Source organism: Homo sapiens, chromosome 8 (genome assembly GCF_000001405.40).
Source record: "Homo sapiens chromosome 8, GRCh38.p14 Primary Assembly".
Taxonomy (NCBI): Eukaryota; Metazoa; Chordata; class Mammalia; order Primates; family Hominidae; genus Homo; species Homo sapiens.
In genome coordinates, this window is record NC_000008.11 from 7,776,686 (window position 1) to 7,799,831 (window position 23,146).

Genomic DNA, 23,146 nt, shown 5'->3' on the forward strand with positions numbered 1-23,146 from the left:
GTTAAGGCTCCCCACCTTTTTTTCTTCTTTCTTTCTTTCCAGACACAGGAGATAATCAACAAAGACCAGGCTCCCTTTTAAATCCAATAAGAAACATTTTACAACCTACTCCCTCTCAAGTCTACTATCTGAAGGTTCCTCTGCACAGTAAAACTTGGCCTCCCCACCTCTTTATCTTAACCTAAACATTTCCTTTCAATAGATCCCTGGTCTTAGATAAACTCATCCAATTATCAACCAGATAATTTTTAAATCTATCTATAAGCTGGAAGCCCCCCTCCTTCAAGTTGTCCCACTTTTCTGGATCAAATCAACGTATTTCTTAAATGCACTTAGTTGAAGTCATGTCTCCCTAAAATGCATAAAACCAAGCTGCACCCTGATCACCTTGGACACACGTTCTCAGAACCTCCTGAGGGCTGGGTCACACGACATGGTCAATCATATTTGGCTCAGAATAAATATCTCCAAATATTTTGCAGAGTATGACTCTTTTCCTCAACAAGGTCATGATGATTAGGGTCAAAATTCACCGATATGAAGGACAGCCCCAATTTCTTGACTCAGAGAAATAAAGCAAGAGAAAACACATGGAGGAGGAGGAGGAGGAGGAGGAGAAGAACCTGGAGCTCCCGCCTGCCCCTGGGTGAGTCCTGGAGGTGGAAGGAGAGGTACTTGATCCTGAGTTGGCCCCTGCTCCACCTGAAACAGAACCCTGGAGTGCCACTCCCTGAATGCGGCCCAGCTCTACCCAGGTTAGACACTCCCTTGCCCTAGAGCCTGGGTCCTCCCTGGCCCCCGCTACCACTGCTTCCTCAGAGCCCAGGCCCAGTGCACCACATCTGCCTCTGCACGGCTCTGGGAGGGCTGCACCAAGGACAATCTAGTCTCAGAGGGGACTTCCTGGACACAGGCGGGTCCTGACACCCTGAGGGAACAGAGGAGAATGGCCTTCACAGGGGCTGCTGTCTTGGGGCTCACAGAAGCGGCCTCTCCAGCGACCAGACTCAGAACCTACCCAGAGGCCCAGGCTGGTGAGGATGCCCTGGCTGGGCCTTTCATGTGGATGAAGGCAGTTCCCACCTCAGCCAACGTCTAAAACCCCGAGGAGAATCAAACCTGAAAGAGTCCCTGTCCTCCTTCCCAGAGGGGAAACGCAGTTCCTGAAACCTCAGTAGAAGAGAAAATGCTGTGAGGGTTCAAGGGACCAAGGACGCCCTTCCCAGGCCAGCAAGGCCAGAGTAGGAGGAAGCTGCACCCACCTCCAGGGGACATGTGAGGTTTTAGAGGCTCAGGCAAGTCAAGGGCAAACGCCCTGTACTCCCCGCAGGGTCATGAGCACTCCCCACCTACTGGAGTTGGGCTCCAGAAGGCCAGGACATTATCCCTGCATCTCCCCTGCCTCCAGGACTCAGGCCTGAGCTCCCAGGTTGGCCAGGAAAAGCTAGTGGTAGCTCTAGCTGGCCATGGACATACAGGCTGGGACATGCAGGCCAACAAAGAGGTGCTGGGCCCTCAAGAGAACTTCTAGACTTCCTAGACACTCCAGAGACACAGAGACGTCCAGGCAGGACAGGGAGAGCCTGGAAGCAGCTGTGAGCAAGTGCAGGTGCCCGTCCCAACACACAGAGCTAAGCTCTGTTCAACCATTTGCTAAGCCAGACCCATCCCAGGGCCCAGAGGTGCAAACAGTGACCCCACTCAGGACTTGGAAGGAGGAGCACAGGAAAAGCCCCAAATTGGCCAAAAAAACTGTCAGAAATGTGGCAGTTATTTCATAAGTACATGAATAATAAACCCAAACAATGGAAAACAAAACTAAACAAAGGCAAATGTGAATGGAAACGTGATGAGTGAGAGCAGGAGAGTGTCTCAGTTGGAAGCAAGCACAGCAGTCACCACTACTTCATTCAATGACGTCAAGATTTATTCAAAAGCATTGGCCTGGGGAGTGTAGGGAACCTGGACTAAGACAAGGAATGGGGCACAGCTTGGAGAAAAAGGGGAGAGTCTCAGGGCAGAAATAGAGCATCAGCCTTAGGAATTATTTATTGTGGCATCAGACCAATGACTACAAGGACATCAGCATGCAAGGGGCGGTGTTAGCCCCCGGGAGTGAGCAGCTGTCTTCAGATGAACTTTCAGACCACGTCATGCTGGAAGCAGAACTCTCACATGGAGCAGTCAGGGATTTGATTGAGTGTGGTTGGATGTATGTGCTTAAATAGGAAGAGAAAGTCTAAGGGACAGTGTGTGTGAAGTGAAATGTGAATGTTTTATTTGAACTCCCTGCAGTTCTCCCCCTCCCTGCAGCATCTGGGACCCTCCGCTGTTGAAGACAGTGGTTGATGATGGGGAACAGCAAAGGGCAAGCAAGTGGTCAAATTACTTTCTCTCCACATTTCAGAGAATGCACTGACTAAGGATCTGGACAATCTCTGACCTATCAATGCAGGGGGTGGCTCTTGGGTTAAATCACTTCCTAAAGAGACATCTCCGTGCCCTGCTGGGAGGCCTATGGTGAACCCTGTGATAGACCTGGGGACCAGGACTTGGTGAAGGGGGCATAGGTCTGAGGGAGGAGGTGCACAAGAGCTCCATACCATGCAGGCTGAAACTGGAGTCGGCTGGTCTAGGGCGTCCCACAGGACTAGGTGTGGGTGGTAGAGGGTAGCATTGGGGGAAGGCTGCCCGACAGCGTGGAATGCACAATGGGGTTACTAGGAAAGAAGGGCTGATCCCAGCCATGTGGTTTGCTTGGGGTATCATCAAGGGCTGCTGATACAGGGGTGCTGCCTTCCCTTCTTCTGCAGGTGAAAAAGGCACATTCTCTCTTCTCATGTCTGAGATGTCTCCATCTTGAGCATGGAACTCCAAGCTGAAGTCATCAACGGAAGGTATGATGTACTGGATCTGCACAGGGGACTGCAGGCCATCTTCTGACCTCAGGACATGCTCAGGGACAATCACAAGGACTGTGTTCTCCAGGGTCAGCTGCAGCACTGTCTCTGGGGCCAAGATGAGGATGACCTCTTCCAGGCTCAACCTCACTTCTGTCCCTTGTTCCAGGACTATCATGAGCTCCTCAGTGCCAGAATCCTGCTGATTCTGTGGAAAGACAGTCCTCAGTATTCTGCCCTCCAAAAAGGCTGCAAATGATGCTCATGGGGAGGGAGATGCCAGGAGCTTCACCCTTTACAACTTTAAAATACAAACTCCCTCCCAGAATTGGTGCTCATGCCAATCCACCTAAATATACATCCACTGGATGTCCCTTGAACCTGAAGATTGTGCAGCACTGTCCAATCTTTGCTATGCAAGGACACAGGAACTTACCTGGGGAAGTTCCAGGGACTGGTATGAATTCAGGTGTGGAGCTCCTGAAATTGAGGGTTTTTTTGCACCTGCAGAGAGACCACAGTGAGGGAGGTTAAGGCTCTCTTCCAGCAAGAGTCTCTTGCATTTCAGAATGTGACCTTCAGAAATCCACCACCCAGCACTGGCCAGCCTCAGGACACCAGCCCCCAACAGTCAAGCACGACTTTCCACTCACCCTGCAGAAAGCACCCTCTCCATTTATGGTATCATGAGACATGACACTGACTTCCAGGCATGGGAATCTTAAAAAATATTAGGGAAAGTGCCTTACCTGTACTGGGACCCTGCTCCACTTGGCGACGTTTGGGTGGATTCATTTGTGTGGTAGCCAAACTGCAGGACAGAAAGGGACCCATCAATCTTCCACATAGTGACACAAAGTCCAATTCTCACAAGCCCCAAACTTCATTAGTCATCCGGCACACATTGCTGCTGTGGCCCAAAATCACATGCACTTGTGTTCAGCTCCAAATCCTACCTGCATCCAGAAAGTCCTAACACTCATATCCCACCCTCTCCTTTTCTAGAGGCTTTTCCTATCGGTGCATGTGTGTGATAAGACATGGCGATCACAGGAAACAGTTTGCTTTTTCAGGAGCTCATCCACATGAGAAGGAGGGACATCAAATTTGGCCCGAGGACTTTAGGAGAAGATGCTGATTTTCCGGGTATCTAACCCCTGTGTCTATGCAGTTACAGTGTGAATGGAGTGATAAATGACATGAAATGTTCCATTTTCTAGTGAGCACAAGGAAAAAATTTAGATCATGCCCACAGTTTACCTGTCTCCACACAAGAGGCAACTTCTGTTTACCCAGAGGACAGAGATTAACAATGGGAAGAAACATGAGATGAGCCCCCTGACAGGCTGCAGAAACCCCCCATGCTGGCTGCATCCTGTGGCCTCCACTGTGGGTCTCATGTCTCCCCAATGTGTTCTAAATTTATAACATTCAATGTCATGGCAGGCCAGGGTGTCTTCTCTGCCCTAGTTTGGCCCTTTAGCATACATTCACACACACACACACACATACAGTCACACACAGTCACATGTCAACCTCCTGGCAACCCAAAGTAGCCACATACTCCAACATACCTGGTCTCTCCTTCATTGTCATTCTGCGGTTCTGTCTGGGAATCTCTGGGGCTTCTTAAGCGCCGGTAACCATACATGGTAAAAGTTCTCTGGACTTGCTTGTGTCAAAAAAATCTCAATCTTTGGCCTATTTTCTGTAAATCTATATAGTTCGTGCCTTGATCTTTTACTCTACCTGGAGAAAAATTATCAGCCTCTAGCACAGCACAGCCAGAGCATGGAAGAGTGTGTCCTGGCCTGGGACCGGTCAAATGGTGCTTTGGTAGAGTGAGCTCTTGGGGAAATCCTCCAAGGGTCTTATAAGAGGTGGAGCCATGGGATTTGTCAAAATGGATGAATGTGATTGGCTAGTGGTGCTGATTAAACAACATGAAGGGCCAGCATGGGAGTGGTTTTATCAAAACTCAGTCAATATGAGTGTGACCCAGTCAGAATTAGCCTAATTCAATCAAAATTAATTCAAGATCTCTACTCTGATTCACCATATAATTGTGACATAAAATAACAGTATTTTAAACTAGCAATATTTACTTTCTATTGTAGTCTGTTCATTAATTTGGTAGGACAGTTATTTTCTGTAAAGTTCATGTGTACGTCGTTTCTTAGTAAACATAAAGGATTGGGTCTAGGAAACTTTAAATATGCCACAATTTGTATATACTCAAGTCCCTTGTATAAAACGGCGTAGAATTTGAATATAACATAATCACATTAATTTATATAATTTAAATGATCTCTAGATTACTTACAATACTTAATGCAATGCCCAGACGTCACGTCATTTATGTGAACTCAAAAAGAATGTGATGCATGGAAAATTTAAAGTTTCTCTGAAGAAACTTGTGCAAATCTTTTGTGAATATTTTCTATTCAAGATTAGTTGGATCCATGAATATGGAACCTATGGATGTGGAGGGCTGACAGTATTTTTAAATAAAAAAAAATACGTTATTTTAAGTGAATTAAGTTTTAAAATGAATCTCCTGGGGAAAGTTATCCAAACAGAAGAAGCGAATACTATAAGACAAGCTGGGGAAAATACAAAAAGAACCTTTACTTAATTTCTAATATATCACTGTGTATTAATCTGTCTGTTAATTTATTTCTTGCCTGTATCCCCGCTGGACTAATTTCAGAATTGTAATGCAAGTTTTGCTTTCAACATTACTTATTAATTACAAATCCATCATTCTTATTGGCAAAGTCACCTAAACTTCTTGCAGGTGGCCAGACACCATATGCCTGAACTCAGAATTAGTCATTTTAAGATTAAAAATTATTTGACAGTATAAAGAATAATAGATGGTATTGGGGGAAAACAGTAATCCAGTAATCACTAGAACTGAACTAGAAGGAAAATCTGTGAGGGTGCACCATTACTGAGCGTGCCATCTCTAACAGGCCCCTGAGCTCAGGGCTTCATCCTCTCTCTAGAACTTGTATAAATTTGTTTGTGGATTCTCTTTGCATTTAGCTGATAATTTCATCAGTTTTATTAGGTGAAGTATAGACCCTGTTTCCCTTAAATGTTAAAAAAAAATTGAATCTAATTAGCAGATGCCTTTTGCACTGAAGCTTTCTTCTCCAGTTAGATAAATCATTTAGATGAATAAAAGGAAAACAGGAAGATTCCTTTAATTTTGCCAATGTCTTAAAAGCCTCCAAGGGGAACATTAGTGCCTTTATCCAGAGAACTCTCTGCTTTGGGGATTTTGATAATTTCTGAGGAGAACAGCAGGTAATTAGCTGAATATCAGCTGCAGTTATAAAATTGGATTAATTGCCTACATTCTTTCTGGCTGCGGGGTTCAGGTTGAGATATTCAAGAAATAGCCTCTATTGATGATTCTGGAGTATGTATATTTTACAGTCAAGAAAGAGAAAGGCTCCTCATGGTGAGTTTCTGTGTGTCACGTCTAGCTGAAAACCTATGGACTGCAAACCAGTACAAGAATAAAAATATGAGGGACGTGCCAAATATATATTCTACCTTTATAATCGCTTTGATTATAAACCAAATGTTTTAATAGATAAATTAATAAATTTGCAGCATAAATGTCTCAGGATATATCCTGCAGCACAGAATAATAACTTATTTTTGAAGAAATATTTAAGCAATATGTTTTCATTTGGGGTAGAAACTATTTTTCACAAAAGTGTAGCTTTCCCCTTGCATGTGTAATGAAAATCACTTTTAAATCTGCAGTGCTAGGGTAAAATTAAAGACGTGGCTCTTGCCGTTTTAATAGCAACAATTAAAGGATGCATTAGTGCCCCTCCCTTTCATTGTCTCACTATTTTTCAGTGAATTTGGCACTGTAGGAAAGATGAGCCCCTCACAATGTGGAAATGCAGGGATGCAGAGTGCGGGGTTTCCCTGCAGGGGCCCCTTTCTCGCGAGCTGCGCGACAGTGCGCCGCCGTGCCCCGGCCACATACTCCTTCCTCTGCAGGGTCCCCGTATTCTGTAGATTTTCCTCACAATTCTTCTTGTGTTTCTCCTCATAATGAATCCTGACAGAGGTTGCGAGGAAGGCACATTACGGCCTGCTATGGTTATCAATGAAAATCCCTAAGGAATACGTAGATTTGTAAAATAATTCTTGCTAATATATCCCAACAGACAGTGCAGAAGAAAACACGTAGGAACAGCCCAGAACATTAAGTCTTTAGTGCTGTTTCAGAAAAATATCCGGGAGACGCGCAGGGAATCTCACTCCTCAGCAGGTAGGGCTGTGAACAGCAGCGTTTTCCTTAAGATGGATGCAGCCCCATTTGCCCCAAAGCCAGGGCGGCGCCTCCTCCTCCCTGGCCTGAGGAAGGGAAGTTCCCTTCTTCCTTGGCGATCTGGCCCCGCTTCCGCAAGCAGAATGCGCATGCGCCCCGCACGACCAGAAAGCGAGTTCCATTGCCCTCTGCCGGCTATGGGCTTGCAGCGCGGGACTCTTGGCCTTCACTGTTTAGCGGTTGACCTGCGTCTGTATCGCTGAAATTCCGGTTTTATCAGTACCTTCCTTTTGGAAGATCAAATGCAAATGGAGCACGGTATCTTTTTTCTTTTTCTTTTTTTTTTTATGAAAGAGGGTGGAAATAAAGAAGCAAAGTCCAAAGACCGTATAAAATAGTCTGTTGATTCCCTGTATGTGGAGGAAAGAGGAGCTCGAATAAGAGAAACATTCTGTGTGATGCTTTAATGCCAGAGATCTGCCACTATGCATTTGTCAAATACAATACAATTTTACAGCACAAATAGTACATCTTAGTGGGTCAGGATTACAGCAAATGACATCTAAAATTTGGAGAACATTACATATTTAATTAAATAGGTCAAAGTATAAATAATGTGAGGCCTGCCTGGACACAGCCTCTGCCTGTCCTTCCAGATTGTCATGGGCTTGAATTGATGTCTCCTCATCCTCACACAGGAATTGACATAAACCCTGGCTTTAACGTAAAAACAGTTGGGCAGATTTGTAAACATTATGATGTTTCACTTTCACCCATGAATTAGCCAATTTAATTGGCCTCAGTAAAGTCTATGATTTTGGGATTGTGCAGTTTGGTAAAAGCTCAAAGTCCTCTCAGTATATTTCCTGGGACCACTTCTCCTTGATATTTAGATTCAGTACTGAGATTTGTTGAAGCACAATATGTATCCAAGCCCGAGTCAAAGCAGAGGATGCCTGCTGGTCAGAAGATTCATTTTGCTTGTGGAAAAGTCCATTGCATTTGATATAAAAGGGCTTGCATGGTGACTGAGAAGTTAGGGTGTTTTAGTTTGCTGGTGCTTTATCTGCTAGGCTATAGTAAGGGGAGCAATGCTGTGTCCTTGTCTGTGTCATAACGCAATTACTCACTTGAATGAAAAGTGGGATGTCATGAGATGAATTCCTTTTCCCTCTTTGGGAGGCTTTAGGAACAAAATCTCAAGAGTTTTCTGAGGGATACAAGAGCAGGGCTGCCTGACTCTCTGCCCCGGGAGCTGTTCATGGGCAGAGACGAGGGCTGGGGTCATCCAATGGTTTATACAAGGTGTCTTTGATATTACTCCCATTTCCCTGCTAAATCTGTGTAATGGCTCACTGAGAAACCCGGCATGAAGATCCCTGTTTTGACAACTCCAGGGATGGATGGAGACAAATATTTTTGTTGGAAGTTAGAATTAGGGGACATGGGCTGTGCGGCAAAAATAAAAAACTCTTGAAGAAGGCAGGGACTCGAAGAAAGGGGTGGAATTTCTGCCCACATGCCAAAGAGTGCAGAAGGAATTCTAAGTGTTAGAGCAGCATCAGTAAAACTAGATCTTGTACAACATATTACATTTTTCAGGAACAGGCTATATTGTTTCAATATTTGCAAGTATTGTTCTCTTAAAAAACTTGAGGAGTTGCTTAGACCTCTGGAGAGAAAAATTGAGACATGTAAGAGGGCAGGAGTGACACAGTGGTGACACACTCTGGAGTCCTGCCTACAAGCAGCACCCTTTGACCCACTCCACAAAAGCTCTATTCCACAGCTCAATTCCTCCTTAAAAAAAAGGTGAGAAAAAAATCTAAAACTTAGGAGAAAACAAGGAGAATGACCCACTTTCAAGCACTTCTTAGATTTTACGACAACTCTACTAGCCAGACTTTATGTAAAATGGAAGTAACGTGGTCTTTGTGCACATTTAAAAAAAAAAAAAAAAAAAAAAAAAGCCCTAAGGTCGACCTGCAAGTTATAGATTTCCTAAGGCTCTTTTTCTCTCTTTTCTTTTCTGCCTGCTTTATATCAGCTGTTACATTATGACTGAGATAAAAGCCACTGTTTGGATATAACAGGGTTTTGTTTGTCTGTTTGTTCGTTTTTCAAGCCAGTTTCATATCATTCCTAAAGTTCTCAACCAAAAGCTACAGGATTTTCTTTTCTGTGCAAATATGTGCATGTATATATTTAAAAGGCTTTTATGATTTCTATAATTTTATGTTATGTAGCAGTTACATCCATTTTAATTTCTGTCTAGCACAACAGACTATTTCGCTGTGTTCCTCAGATGTAAGTTTCCTATCTGATTTTCACCTATGAATTGTTTCCTTTGATATGCAGAGTAAGGCTATTTAGCTGACAGCTACCTAAGGTAGTCAAACAGGTTATCAAGAATTTGAAAACCTAAGACAGGAAAAAATAGGATCTTATGAATCTATAAGATGTACATCTATTGGCATGCCTAATACATCTATGTATTTATGTGTTGTGTACACAATGTTTCACTATTAAAAATATATACAAGAGCTCTAATTGGCTTTAAAAATAAAAGCACATAAATCAGATACTTAATCAAATAAAAGACTACACAAATGCTTTTTAAGGTCACTTGACTTAAAATATTTAATAAATGAGCTGGCTTTAAAATTATGGGTAAAGTAAAATTAGAAATGTCGTAAAAATTGTTAGCATTTTTGTTTTGTGTTTATTGATCAAGTAATTCCATGCTTAATCCTGCAGAATAATATAAGATTAACCATAAGGGTTATAAAATTATGAAAGCCAGACCAAGACAAAATGATCTTTGCTTGTGTAATTTTAGACAAGAAAGACATGGAATATTCTTTTAATGAAATCCTAAATTATTTGTAAAAATACTCTTATATTTAACTTTAGGTTTCCTATGTAAGTAAACACCTAAAATGCACAGCTATAAAAAAGGGTAACAGGGAAATAACTTACAGAAGGACTGTTACAGTTTTGGTCAATAATCTAGGTAAACTATTGAATAATGTAATCAGGGAAATGTGATGGAATAAATGCTTGTAAACAAACTTGTCATATAATTTAGGATCTAAGGTTATTCATAAATATTGAGTATACAGGTAATTCAAAACTTAAAAATTATAAAAAATTTTTAAGTGTTCTTATTAAAATGTAAATATCTTTGTGTAACTGACAGCCTACTTAAATGTTATGTATAAAAAGAACCAGAAAAAAAGAAATGTAAAAAAATTTAAAGTGGTACCTTTTTATAGAGAAGGGATAAAGGAAAATAATTTTATATCAGAAAGAATCTTGTGTAGTAAATTTTTGCCCTAGAATAAAATGACTGGGTCATTCAAGAAAGAGGAATATTTAGGAAAAAACAGAAAGTCTAAACATGTTTTGAGTGGTCTATGTAAGTCATAACAGGGTTAGTAAAAATATATTTTTTTAAAGGGGTTGTATAATTCAGTTGGCTACCATTAAAAAGGAATTATAATAGTCTTTCTAGGGATGGATCTTCGATATTTAAAAATATACACTAATGTAAAACTGAAATAATTGGTTAAAACAAGATTTTTATTAAAAATATTAACTTATTACTAATGCAAAAAGTTATTAAATTTTAAATTCTAGAATCTGTCTCTTTGAAATTCTTCAGATAAAATAGGTCAAAACTTCAGCTCTTCCTCTTTGAAAGGGCCATGGATGATAGCTCTCTCCTTCACCTTTTGTTGGCTCCTGTAACTTTTATTAATTATCTAAAGTAAGAAAGGGAATTTTTTTAAAAAAACAGTCAAATGAAATATCCTTTGGACCTGCCTTTTTATTCCGCATGAGTGTTATATCTCTATCTTTATATGTGTCATGTGGAAGTGGTATTTAACTCCCAAACTACATGAAAGAGCTCTAGACAAGTAACTTTTCTTAAAGAAATATAGCTGCTTGTTAGACTGGTACAAGCTATCTCAAATGCCCTTTTAATTTTCATAACCTTAAGAATCTTTGGTAAAATTAATGTGGTAAATTCCATCTCAAAACTCTCCAGTAATTTAAAAGCTTCAAGTCATGTTAAAATCTCAGGTTAGGTTATTTTTCACTGGAAATTTGGATTGCTGAAAGTTAAAATAGCAAGAGCATAAAATTTGTTTTTGGTGAATTTTATAAAGCATAAAAATGTTGACTTTGCTTAAAAAAGAAAATATATTTTTCCTCTAGCTAGAAAACTATTTAAGAGTTGCTTTAAAATGAAAGGAAAAATTATACGGATATAACTAAATAAAAAGAGTAATTAAGCTAGGGCAACAAAAGTTAACTCTGAGACCCGTGGCTACCAAAATGATAGTCAATCAATGTGGGGGAAGAGCAAAACTAACTATTTAGAACCAGAGGGTATACTGTAAAGAATTGTTCCATTTTGTAGTTTAGTATCATCAGCTTCTTTAAAAAATCCTTACTATGATGGATTGAGAAAAAACACTTTAAGGACAAGATTCTTAATTTTAAATGTTACACGATTTAAGAGCTTGTTTGGGTTAATGCAGGACCCACAGTTCACTATTGAACAACCACTAACATGTGATCCAAATACCCAGGAGGTTATTCCTAAGAGAATAATCATCATAATATACCCAGAAAATGCCACCATAAAGTCTGTTTTCTCTGAGTAGGGGACTACCTAACTCTCCCAATAAAATACCAAGTGAAACACCCCAGATGGAGCAGTTAATATGCTTCTTATGTGAACCATGTTGGACTGGCTTAATAATGACTGGGATATGCTCCCACCAAACTGTCTGTTACCCAGGTTATGTTAAATTTGGGTGCTAAGAGGGCCCCTTTTACATGGATGCTCCTCCCACAAAATCATGAGAGTGTTTGAGGAGTCGTATCAAATTTGCTGCCCCTTAGAGGTCTTACAGATGCAACTCCCTGCTGAGAAACCAAACCCTTTTTCAATAGAAAAGGTAAAATGATTTGGGGGTATTAAAAAAAAATTCTGGGACCAGAACATATAAACATACAGGTTAATAGAGTTATGAAATTTAAAATGTTTAAACAGGTTTTATGTAAGGTAGTTGTAACCTCCTTTACTACCTGGGAGAGGTTTCCCCTTTCTAGTAGTATAAAACTGAAGGCATATAAATCTGCTCTTTTGAGAAATGTTAATTGGACATGCCAAATGGGAACTAGTAAGACTGCCTAAGCCCACAAAGTATAGGGTAGAAGCTGGAGTGCTAGTCGGGACAAATCCTGCACTTCATAGCCCTTTGTGTAACATTTATTGGGGCTGATGGCAAAAAAAAAAAAAAACTGTGAGTTCTTCCTGATGACAAAGATAGAACAAGGGAATTTCTAGCTCAGGGACATTTAGTACCTTACTATGGAATGCTAACTGAACCAACTTCTATGATAGTGGAAATAATGTTGCCCCAAAAGAGTTTCGTGATAAAATAAAAATGGTTTACATAGAATCTTGCTACATGGGGATATAAGGAGGAGATACTAATAAGCAGGCAGCCTCATTCCTAGGACTAATTCTAACTCTGTGAGGAGCTGCTAGATTGCATAGTGCCTGATAGACAGCTCTCAGGAGCGGTTTGGCTTGTGCATGACATTTCCAAGATGATAAACAAACATCTTGTGTGAAAGCCACTGCTCTTGTTAAAGGAGGGTCCAGACAATCTTTTTCTTTAATTCATTTTGATGAAGTTTGTTTTTGTAAGCAAATTATCTTTCTGAGTTCTCCAAAATTCAGATCCTAATTTTATGACAATATGGTTGTTTGCATAAGTTTCAATAAGAGTCTTTAAAACAATTAGAGACTTGAACTAAAGTGGTATATTTTTAGGTAAGGTGCCAGCAAAGCCAACTTAAAATGAATCTATGTGGCCAATCAATTCTTGCTGCATTTTAAGCAAATAATCCGGCCAACCATGATAAGACTAAAACTTACTTGGCACACAAACTGGTCTTACTATAATCTCTAAAAAAAATGCAGATAGAACAATTGTTTAAAAGGAAAAGCTTAAGGATTAGTACTAGATTTCAGTCCTAACTCTTTTTAAGTGCAGATTAAATCATTATTTCTTTGCTATAATAATCCTCTAGAGAGTACCAGATCATAATTTATCTCCATATTTTTAGCTGGTTCCCTAATGAAGTAGGTTCCTTTTTCCATTCTGACACACAAATAATCTTTTGATTGTGAAACTATAAATGTTATTTACCTCTCCTTGTTTTACTTCCAAGGAAACCAAAATTACGGTATTCTGAAGACTAGAGATATGAATCCCCCTCAGCTGACATCCCACTGGGTTCAGATCTGTATTTCACCGCGAATCTTCTGATGCTAAAACTATACAAGCACCCTCTCTCTAGGCTCAGGGACTGTCTTGGAAGAGGCAGGCACATGAGATTGTAAGAGCTAGTTTTGGGCATGAACTTAGGTCCATGTCAAACTCTCCAAATCAAGGAGGGGTACAAAGATGGTACAGCCGGCAAAACAAGGGACATTTCCTTCTAGACTATAGTGTGTCACTTTTGCATCCACCCCAACCATAAACAATTTTCTGCTTCTCATAGATTTAAAAGAAAATATTTACTGATAGGATAAAGATGCCTTATGACAAAGCCTCTTGGTATAATACTCCCAAGTATAAATTGCACATATAGTTTCAAATTGTGCTAATGCCATTAGTATACAATGGCAACAGCAATCCTGATGAATCCAGCAAAATTCGCCACCCAGAAATTAAAACTTGACCTCACTGGAAAAGTTGGAGCTGGCCTAGGTATATTGGTGTAAGCTGAGTTCATAGCTAACGAGGAGAGGCATCTCTTAGAGAAAAGTTTTCTGTCAAAAATAGCCCACATAGAAGGAATGTTATTCCAGGAAGATGGAAAAGGATGGGAAGCTCCTTTAAAAAATAATGCAACACTCATCAAATGGATAGGAGAAACCAAACAAAACATAAAAACATACTCTCAAACCCGAAGGTGGCAATGAGCATGTTCTGTAACCCAACAGGGGCTCATGTCTATTTCATTACAAACACAATCTAAGGTGGCTATGAAGCAATGGCCTATACTCATCTGTGCCGAGGCACAATCCAAACACCTGTGGAAAATACACGGCCCCCCAAACATATGGAAAATTTCGGATGGTAAATGTGACCTTAAACATGGTATTCTCAGAGCATAGGCACCAAAGTTAAATGAGGCTCAAAGGTATTCTGTGGTTCAACTGGCAGGCATTGTAAACAATACAGAAATACTCCCCTGGGGAAATAGGTGGACTATTTCAGCTCATGATAACACATGGCGTCCCATCTCCTTTTCAGATTGTGAAAACAGAAAAGGGGAATGGTTATGCCCTCAGTCCACTTAGAACCCTAATTTTCCCCAACTTAGCCCCTAATATCCACTCCCATAGCACATAACATTTGTTATATGGGAAAGGGCCATTTCTGTGGGAAAGGACAACAAAATGAAAGTATAGAATCATATGACTTCTCCTTTAAAGAACATTGTTTTCTCTCCCAAACACATACCAGTATATAGTGCAATACAAGTGGTGTGAAAAATAGGTGTGTCTACTGTTAACAAATCCTGTAACAATTTAGATATAGAACACCAGGCATTTGTTGCACTTGATTTATACCCTCGTCAGGATGTTATACCTATGGAGACCAATTGGCCCGAAGTAAACGAAGCTGCACCCTTACTACCTTGGGCACATGTTCTGAGGACCTCCTGAGGGCTCTTCAATATATTGCAGAGTTTGACTGCTTTACTCAACAAGGTACTGGGGATTAGGGTAGAAATACACCGATGTGAAGGACGGCGCCATTTCTCAACTCACAGAAATAAAAGAAGAGAAAACACCTGGAGAAGGAGGAGGAGAAGGGGGAGGGGAAAGGCGAGAGGAGGGGGAAGGGAAGGGGAGGGGAGGAGTGGAGGAGGAGGAGGAGGAGGAGCAGCTGCTGAGCCTGGAGCTCCCGCCAGCCCCGGGGTGAGTCCTTGAGGTGGAAGAAGAGGGACTTGGTCCTGAGCCTGCCCCGGATCCACCCGCACCAGAACCCTAGAATCCCAGTTTCTGGATGGGACCCAGTCCCACCCAGGCCAGACACTCCCTTGACCCGGAGCCCGGGCCCTGCCTGGCCTCTGCTGCCACCTCTCATGACAGAGTCCAGGGCCCCCGCGCCACCTCCGCATCAGCAGGGCTCTGGGAGGGCGGGGCCAAAGACGCCCAATGGGACTTCCCGTCCGTAGGGGGATCCTGACGCCCTAAGGGCGCAGAAAGGCGCCCCCTGCACTGGGGCGGCCATCTTCGCTCTCGCAGAGGAAGGGGCCTCTCCAGCGCCCAGACTCAAAACCTCCCCGGAGGCCCGGGCTGGTGAGGACGCCCTGGCTGGGCCTCTCATGTGGACGAAGGCTGCTTCCGCCCCAGCCGAGATACAAAACTCTGAGGAGAATCAAACCTGAAAAGGTGCCTGTCCTCCTTCCCAGAGGGGAAAGGCAGTTCCTGAAACCTCAGTAGAAGAGAAAACGCTGTGAGGGCTCGGGGGACCAAGGACACTCTTCCCAGGCCAGCAAGGCCAGAGTAGGAGAAAGCTGCACCCACCTCCAGGGAACATGTGAGGTTTTAGAGGGTCAGGCAAGTCAAGGGCAAACGCCCCGTACTCCCCCCGGGGACATGAGCACTCCCCACCTACTGGGGTTGGGCTCAGGGAGGCCAGGACATTATCCCCGCATCTCCCCTGCCTCCAGGACCCAGGTTGACTAGGAAAAGGTGGTGGTAGCTCTAGCTGGCCATGGATGCACAGGCTGGGACATGCAGGCCAACAAAGAGGTGCTGGGCCCTCAAGGGGACTGCTAGATTTCCTAGACACTCCAGAGACACAGGGACACCCAGGCAGGACAGGGAGAGCCTGGGAGCAGCTGTGAACAAGCGCAGGTGCCCATCCGAACACACAGAGCCAAGCTCTGTTCAATCACTTGCTAAGCCAGACCCATCCCAGGGCCCAGAGGTGCAAACAGTGACCCCACTCAGGACTTGGAAGGAGGAGCACAGGAAAAGCCCCAAATTGGCCAAAAAAACTGTCAGAAATGTGGCAGTTATTTCATAAGCACGTGAATAATAAACCCAAACAATGGAAAACAAAACTAAACAAAGGCAAGTGTGAATGGAAACGTGATGAGTGAGAGCAGGAGACTGTCTCAGTTGGAAGCAAGCACAGCAGTCACCACTACTTCATTCAATGACGTCAAGATTTATTCAAAAGCATTGGCCTGGGGAGTGTAGGGAACCTGGACTAAAACAAGGAATGGGGCACAGCTTGGAGAAAAAGGGGAGAGTCTCAGGGCAGAAATAGAGCACCAGCCTTAGGAATTATTTATTGTGGCATCAGACCAATGACTACAAGGACATCAGCATGCAAGGGGCGGTGTTAGCCCTGGGAGTGAGCAGCTGTCTTCAGATGAATTTTCAGGCCACATCATGCTGGAAGCAGAACTCTCACATGGAGCAGTCAGGGATTCGATTGAGTGTGGTTGGATGTATGTGGTTAAATAGGAAGAGAAAGTCTAAGGGACATTGTGTGTGAAGTGAAATGTGAATGTTTTATTTGAACTCCCTGCGGTTCTCCCCCTCCCTGCAGCATCTGGAGCCCTCTGCTGTTGAAGACAGTGGGTGTTGATGGGAAACAGCAAAGGGGAAGCAAGCGGTCCTTGGAATTACTTTCTCTCCACATTTCAGGGAATGCACTGACTAAGGACTTGGACAATCTCTGACCTATCAATGCAGGGGGTGACTCTTGGTTAAATCACTTCCTAAAGAGACATCTCTGTGCCCTGCTGGGAGGCCTATGGTGAACCCTGTGATAGATCTGGGGACCAGGAGTTGGTGAAGGGGGCATACGGCTGAGGGAGGAGGTGCACAGTAGCTCCATACCATGCAGGCTGAAACTGGAGTTGGCTGGTCTAGGGCGTCCCATGGGACTAGATGTGGGTGGTAGAGGGTAGCGTTGGGGGAAGGCTGCCAGACAGCATGGAATGCACAATGGGGTTACTAGAAGAAAAGGGCTGATCCCAGCTTTGTGGTTTGCTGGGGATATCATCAAGGGCTGGTGATATAGGGGTGCTGCCTCCCCTTCTTCTGCAGGTGAAAGAGGCACATTCTCTCCTTTCATGTCTGAGATGTCTCCATCTTGAGCATGGCACTCCAAGCTGAAGTCATCAATGGAAGGCATGATGTACTGGATCTGCACAGGGGACTGCAGGCCATCTTGTGACCTCAGGATATGCCAGGAACAATCACAAGGACTGTGTTCTCCACGGTCAGCTGCAGCGCTGTCTCTGGGGCCAAGATGAGGATGACCTCTTCCAGGCTCAACCTCACTTCTGTCCCTTGTTCTAGGACTATGATGAGCTCCTCATTGCTGGAATCCTGCTGCTCCCGTGAAAAGATGGCCGTCAGTATTCTCCAAAAAGGCTGCAAATGATGCTGATGCGGAGGGAGTTGCCAGGAGCTTCACCCGCTACAAGTTTAAAATACACTCCCTCCCAGAATTGACTCTCATGCTGACCCACCTAAATGTACATCCACTGGATGTCTCTTGAGCTTGAAGAGTGTGCAGCACTGTCCAATCTTTGCCATACAAGGACATACGAACTTACCTGGGGAGGTTTCTGGGACGGGCATGAATTCTGGTGTGGAGCTCCTGGAATTGAGGGTGTTTTGCAATCTTTGCCATGCAATGACATAATAACTTACCTGGGGAGGTTCCAGGGACTGGCCTGAATTCAGTGTGGAGCTCCTGGAATTGAGGGTGTTTTTGCACCTGCAGAGAGATCACAGTGAGGGAGGTTAAGGCTCTTCCAGCAAGAGTCTCTTGGATTTCAGAATATGACCTTCAGAAATCCACAACCCAGCACAGGCCAGCCTCAGGACACCAGCCCCCATCAATCAAGCATGACTTTCCACTCATCCTGCAGAAAGCACCCTCTCCTTTTATAAGATTGTGAGACATGACACTGACCTCCAGGCAGGGAGATCTTAAGAAATATCAGGGAAATTGCCTTACCTATACTGGTACCCTGCTCCACTTGGTGACGTTTGGGTGGATTCATTTGCGTGGTAGCCAAGCTGCAGGACAGAAAGGGATCCGTTAGTCTTCCACACAGAGTCTAATTCTCACAAGCCCAAAACTCCATTTATCATCCAGCACACATTCTTTCTGTGTCCCTCAGTCAAGTGCACTTGTGTTGGGCTCCAAATCCTACCTGCATCCAGTAAGTCCTAATGCTCATCTCCCACCCTCAACTTTTCTAATGGCTTTTCCTATCGGTGAATGTGTGTGATAAGGGATGGTGACCACAGGAAACAGTTTGCTTTCTCAGGAGCTCATCCATCTGAGAAGGGACATCTAATTTGGTCTGAGGATTTTCAGGGAAGACGTTGTTATTTCAGGTATCTGAGCACCGTGTCTGTGCAGTTACAGTGTGAATGGAGTGAGAGATGATGGGAAATGTTTCATTTTCTAATGAGCACAGGGAAGAAATTTAGATCATGCCCACAGTTTACCTGTCTCCGCACAAGAGGTGACTTTCATTTAGAGAGGGAACATAGATCGACAGTGGGAGGAAACCTGAGATGAGCCCCCTGACAGGTCCAGAAACCCCCCATGCTGGCAGGATCCTATGGCCTCCACTGTGGGTCTCATGTCTCCGGCAGGTGTTCTAAATTTATAACGTTCAATGTCATGGCAGGCCAGGGTGCTTTCTCTGCCCTAGTTTGACCCTTTATCACACATTCACACCACACACACACACAAATGCACACAGTCACACATAGTCACATGGCAACCTCCTGGCAACCCAAGGTGAACACACACTAACATACCTGCTCTCTCCTTCATTGTCATTCTGCGATTCTGTCCAGGAATCACTAAGGCTTCTTTGGCGCCAGTAACCATACATGGTAAAGGTTCTCTAGACTCACTTGTATCAGAAAATTTCAATCTTCATCTTATTTTCTTATAAATCTATACAGTCTATGACTTGATCTTTTACTTTTCCTGAAGAAGATGATCAGCTCGGCACATCCAGAACATGGAATAGTGTGCCCTGGCCTGGGACAGGTTGAATGACGCTATGGTAGAATGAAATCTTGGGCAAATCCCAAAAGTTTTATAATAGAGAGAGCTGTGGGATTTATCAAAATGGATGAACACGATTGGCTAGTGCTGCTGATTAAGTAGTAGGACCTGCATGGGAGTGCTTTTATCAAAACTCAAGTGATATGGGTGTGCCCCTGTTAGAATTAGCCTAATCTAATCAAAATCAATCTAATGTAACCTCTACTCTGATTCACCATAGAAATGTGATATAAAATATCAGCATTTTAAAATAGTGCTATTTACATTCTATTGTATACTATTCATTAATTAGGAAAGACAATTATTTTCTGTAAGTTTCATGTGCATAATCATTTCTGGGTAAACATAAAGGATTGGTTCTAGGAAACTTTGAAGGTAACAATATTTGTGGATGCTCCACTTCCTTGTATAAAGTGGTAGAGAATTTAGATGTAACTTACTCATATTAATTCATATAGCTTAAATTATCTCTAGATTACTTATAATACCTAATACAATGCCCAGACCTTACATTACTTACGTGTTCTCAACAAAGAATTTGGTGAAGGGAAAATTCAAATTTTTTTTTGTCGGGGGGTGGAAATTGTGTAAATATTTTCTGAATATTTTCTATTCAAGTTTAGTTGAATCCATGGAGCTGGAACCCATGGATGTGGAGGGCTGACAGTATTTTTTTTTTTTTGAGATGGAGTCTCACTCTGTCTCCCAGGCAGGAATGCAGTAGTACGATCTCGGCTCACTGCAAGCTCCACCCGCTGGGTTCAAGTGATTTTCCTGCCTCAGAGTACCGAGTAGCTGTGATTACAGGCATGTGCCACCACGCTTGTCTAATTTTTGTATTTTTAGTAGAGACGGGGTTTCACCGTGCTGGCCAGGCTGGTCTCAAACTCCTGACCTCAAGTGATCCATCTACCTCGGCCTCCCAAAGTGCTGGGATTACAGACGTGAGCCACCGCTTCTGGTGACAGTATTTTTAAATAATAAAATAATATGTATTTTAAGTGAAAGAACTTTTAAAATGAATCTCCTGGGGAAAGTTATCCAAACATAATAGGCTCATATCATAAGATGAGCTGGGAAAAATACCAAAAGGACCTTTACTTAATTTCTAATATATCACTATGTGCTAATCTGTCTGTTGGCTTATTTCTTGCCTGTATCCCCCACTGGAATGGTTTCAGAATTATAATGCAAGTTTCCCTTTCAACATTACTTATTAATTAAAAATCCATGATTTCCATGGACAAAGTCACCTAAACTTCCATCAGGAGGCCAGACACCAAATGCCCAAACTCAGAGTTAATCATTTTATGATTAAAAATTATTTGACAACATAAAAAAGGTTGGATGGTATTGGGGAGAAAAGATGACCAGTAAATACCAAAATTGAACTAAATGGAAATTCTGTGAGGCTGCACCATTACTGAATGTGCCGTCACTAACAGGCCCTTGAGCTCAGGATGTCATTCTCTCCCTAGAAATTGTATAAATTTGTTTGTAGATTCTTTCCATTTAGCTGATATCCTCCTCAGTCTTATTAGGTGAAGTACAGGCCCTGCTAACTTCTTAAAAGCGCCCACGGCGGACCTTAGTGTCTTTATTCAGAGGTCTGTCTGCTTTGTGGATTTCGGTCTTTTCTGAGCAGAACAGCAGATACTTTGCTGAAGATCAGATGTAGTTTGTTTGTTTGTTTTTCAGACGGAGTTGTGTTCTGTTGCCCAGGCTGGAGTGAGGTGGTGCAGTCTGGCTCACTACAACCTCTGCCTCCCAGGTTCAAGCGATTCTCCTGTCTCAGCCTCTCGAGTAGCTGGGATTAGAGGTGTGCACCACCATGCCCGGCTACTTTTTGTATTTTGGTTAGAGACGGGGTTCCACCATGTTGGCCAGGCTGGTCTCAAACTCCTGACCTCAAGTGATCTGCCCATGTCCGCCTCACAAAATGTTGGGATTACCGGCATGAGTCATGGTGCCCAACCAGATGTAGTTTTAAAGTTGGGTTACTTGGCCGGGCACGGTGGCTCATGCCTATAATCCCAGCACTTTGGGAGGCCGAGGCAGGCGGATCAGGAGGTCAGAAGTTTGAGACCAGCCTGGCCAACATAGTGAAACCCCATCTCAACTAAAAATACAAAAAATTAGCTGGGTGTGGTGGCGGGCACCTGTAATCCCAGCTACTCGGGAGGCTGAGACAGGAGAATAGCTTGAACCCGGGAGGCGGAGGTTGCAGTGAGCGAAGATCACGACATTGCACTCCAGCCTGGTGACAGTGCGAGACTGTGTTTAAAAAAAAAAAAACGGGTTACTTCTCTACATTCTCTCTGGTTGTGGGGATCAGGTTAAGATATTCAAGAAACAGCTTACACTGAGGGTTCTGGAGTATGCATATTTTATGGTCAAGAAAGAGGCCCCTCATTGTGAGTTTGTGTGTGTCAATTCTAGCTGAAAACCTAGTAGAAGAAGAAAAATATGAGGGACTTGCCAAATATTCTACCTTTATAATCGCTTTGGCTATAAACAAAATGTGTTTTAACCAATAAATTAATAAAGTTATAGCTTAAAAATCTCAGGATATATCCTGCAACACAGAATAATGACTTATTTTTGAAGAAATATTTAAGCAATATATTTTCATTTGGGGTCCAAACTTGTTCACAAGTGTACCTCTTCCCCTTGCCTTTGAAATTAAAACCATTTTTTACATCTGCAGTGCTGTGATGAAGAGAAAGATGTGGTTCTGAATGCTTTATCGTCAACAACTGAATGTTGAATTAATGTCCCTCTCTTTCATTGTCTATTTTTCAGTGACTTTAGCACTGTAGGAAAGATGAGCCCCTCACAATGTGGAAATGCACGGAGGCAGAGCGCGGGTTTCCCTGCAAGGGCCCCTTTCCCACGGGCTGCACTGAAATTGTGTGGCCCTGCCCTGACCCGACCCCTTCCTCTGCAGGGTCCCCGTATTCTGTAGATTTTCCTCACAATTCTTCTTGTTTCTCCTCACAATCAATCCTCAATGAGGTCACAGGGAGGACATGTTACAGCCTGCTTCTATTATCTATCAGAAAGCCCTCCCTAACCCCAAATTTATACATTTGTAAAATAATGCTAAAGTATCCCAACAGAAAATACAGAATAAAACACGTGGCAACAGCCCTGAAAATGAAGTCTTTATGGCTGTTTCAGAAAAATATCCGGGATACTCTGCAGCGAATCTCCCTTCTCAGCAGTTAGGGCTGCGGACAGGAAGTTTTCCTCCTGATGGACATCGCCTTAGTTGCCCCAAAGCCAGGGCGGCGCCTCCTCCCTGACCAGAGGAAAGGAAACTCACGTACTTCCTGGAGACCCAGCCCCGCCTCCGCAGGCAGAAAGCGCATGCGCCCCGGAGGGCGGGACGGCGTGTTCCCTCGCCCTCTGCCGGCCATGGGGTTGCAGCGCAAGAGGCTTGGCTTCTACCGCTTAGCGATGGACCTAAGTCTCTCAATGGCTGAAATTCTGGTTTAGATTATTCAGTACCTTTCTTTTGGAGGATCAAATGAAAATAGAGCACGGTATCATTTGCTTTGATGGAAGATAACTGAAATAAAGAAGCAACGTCCAAGGACCATATACAAAAGGCGATTGATTCCCTGTATGTGGACGGAAGAGGAGCTTGAATAAGAGAAGGGTTCTGTGATACTTTAATGCTGGAAAACTGCTGCTATGCATTTGTCAAATCCCATACAATTTTACTGCATAAATAGTACATCTTAATGTGGCTCAGGACTACAGCTTATGTCATGTAAGAT

The 23,146-nt window shown here is 43.1% G+C and overlaps 1 protein-coding gene and 2 pseudogenes across 2 annotated transcripts; 1 reads left to right on the plus strand and 2 right to left on the minus strand.

Moving 5' to 3' along the window:
- The window catches only part of LOC124901865 (translation initiation factor IF-2-like), a 451,468-nt pseudogene that overhangs the window by 162,962 nt on the left and 265,360 nt on the right, over nucleotides 1-23,146 (plus strand).
- Nucleotides 1,906-7,480, minus strand: PRR23D2 (proline rich 23 domain containing 2). Of its 2 annotated transcripts, XM_011543811.3 has the most exons (5): nucleotides 6,815-7,480; nucleotides 4,475-4,649; nucleotides 3,650-3,711; nucleotides 3,337-3,404; nucleotides 1,906-3,108 (listed from the first exon to the last, which is right to left on the minus strand). In XM_011543811.3, exons 2-5 carry the CDS (start codon nucleotides 4,549-4,551, stop codon nucleotides 2,476-2,478), a joined length of 840 nt encoding a protein of 279 aa, XP_011542113.1. In that variant the 5' UTR covers nucleotides 4,552-4,649; nucleotides 6,815-7,480; the 3' UTR covers nucleotides 1,906-2,475. The 2 variants fall into 2 exon arrangements, with proteins under 2 accessions (XP_011542113.1, NP_001269407.1); NM_001282478.1 differs by lacking the exon at nucleotides 6,815-7,480 and having other exon boundaries at nucleotides 4,475-4,728.
- On the minus strand, nucleotides 15,492-22,783 carry PRR23D3P (proline rich 23 domain containing 3, pseudogene; annotated as a pseudogene).

Bases quoted from the DNA above. Each gene is read 5' to 3' on its own strand.
- PRR23D2 (XM_011543811.3), bottom strand. From the start codon at position 4,551: ATGTATGGTTACCGGCGCTTAAGAAGCCCCAGAGATTCCCAGACAGAA. The intron at 3,405-3,649 runs GTAAGGCACTTT...GTCTCTCTGCAG, and splicing joins GGAGCAGGGTCCCAGTACAG to GTGCAAAAAAACCCTCAATT. The intron at 3,109-3,336 runs GTAAGTTCCTGT...GTCTTTCCACAG, and splicing joins AGTCCCTGGAACTTCCCCAG to AATCAGCAGGATTCTGGCAC.